The sequence below is a fragment of the Homo sapiens genome, chromosome 22, assembly GCF_000001405.40.
Source record: "Homo sapiens chromosome 22, GRCh38.p14 Primary Assembly".
In the NCBI taxonomy this organism is placed as follows: domain Eukaryota; kingdom Metazoa; phylum Chordata; class Mammalia; order Primates; family Hominidae; genus Homo; species Homo sapiens.
In genome coordinates, this window is record NC_000022.11 from 43,345,995 (window position 1) to 43,346,908 (window position 914).

General features: G+C 54.9%; 1 annotated feature.

Annotated features, from left to right (window-relative positions):
- Window positions 520–665: a silencer, noted in NCBI's record as "fragment chr22:43742520-43742665 (GRCh37/hg19 assembly coordinates)". NCBI's record gives its function as "represses an EF-1alpha promoter that drives an FKBP-Casp9 reporter gene in an ReSE screen in HepG2 liver carcinoma cells {active_cell/tissue: HepG2}" and the evidence as "EXISTENCE:reporter gene assay evidence [ECO:0000049][PMID:32094911]".

Here is a 914-nt window from a genome sequence, read left to right on the forward strand (position 1 = left end):
GTCATCTTTCTAACGGTCCCTAGCCTCACCAAACTGCTGCAAAGGGAACCCCACAGCTGTCCTATTTTTCACACCCCAGAGCCTGCACCCTTTCCCCTGCCAGGAGCACCCTTGGTTTCCCTTCTTCACAGGGCCCACCCCTCCTCTTCTGCCCATACCCTGACCCCTGCCTCCAGCTGGGTGTGAGGCTTCCTCTGGGCTTCCGCAGTCCCCTGGAGTTACCTCATCAGAGCTTGGCTCGCTCTGGGTTTTACCTCTGTCTTCTCCTAGACTGGGGGTTCTCGAGGGCAGGGCTTGCAGCTGATCTATATCTGAGGCCACAGCTCCTAGTTGGGGCCTAAGAAATTATTGCTAAATTAGTGAATGAACGAACAAAGAGACAAGGCAGACATCATTTAACTGATCATTCTTATTGCTCCAGGAAAAAGGAACAATAAGCCAAAGGAGGATTTAAGCCAAATCTTTGGCTATTTGACAGGGTCTTGAGAGTGAATCCAACTGCCTACTCCGTCCTGCCCACCTCCACGTCTGTGCCTCGGTGGGGAAGCTGGTCCAACCAGTAGGATGGCAGTCGTCAGGGGCCCAGAGTGGCTGACCTGGGGCCCTTTGGCTCCCCCTGGTGACGCCTCACACAGGTCTCAGTGGAAGAGGAGGGAAGGAAGCTCCCCTCTTGCTTCCTTCCAGGTACACCCTCTCGGACCCAACCCCAGCGGCCGACCCCAGTCCTCAGCACTGGGAAAGCCAGAGGCCCTGGACCCGGCAGGTCTGCTCTCAGACCACACCCTGTAACCTTAGCTAAATCTACTGACATCTCTGTGGGTTCAGGTTCCTCCTCTGTATAGGTGACCTACCTCTTAGAGTTGTCGGGAAGATTCAACACAGCAGAAATGGTGTGGAAGCTCTCCAAACCTCAG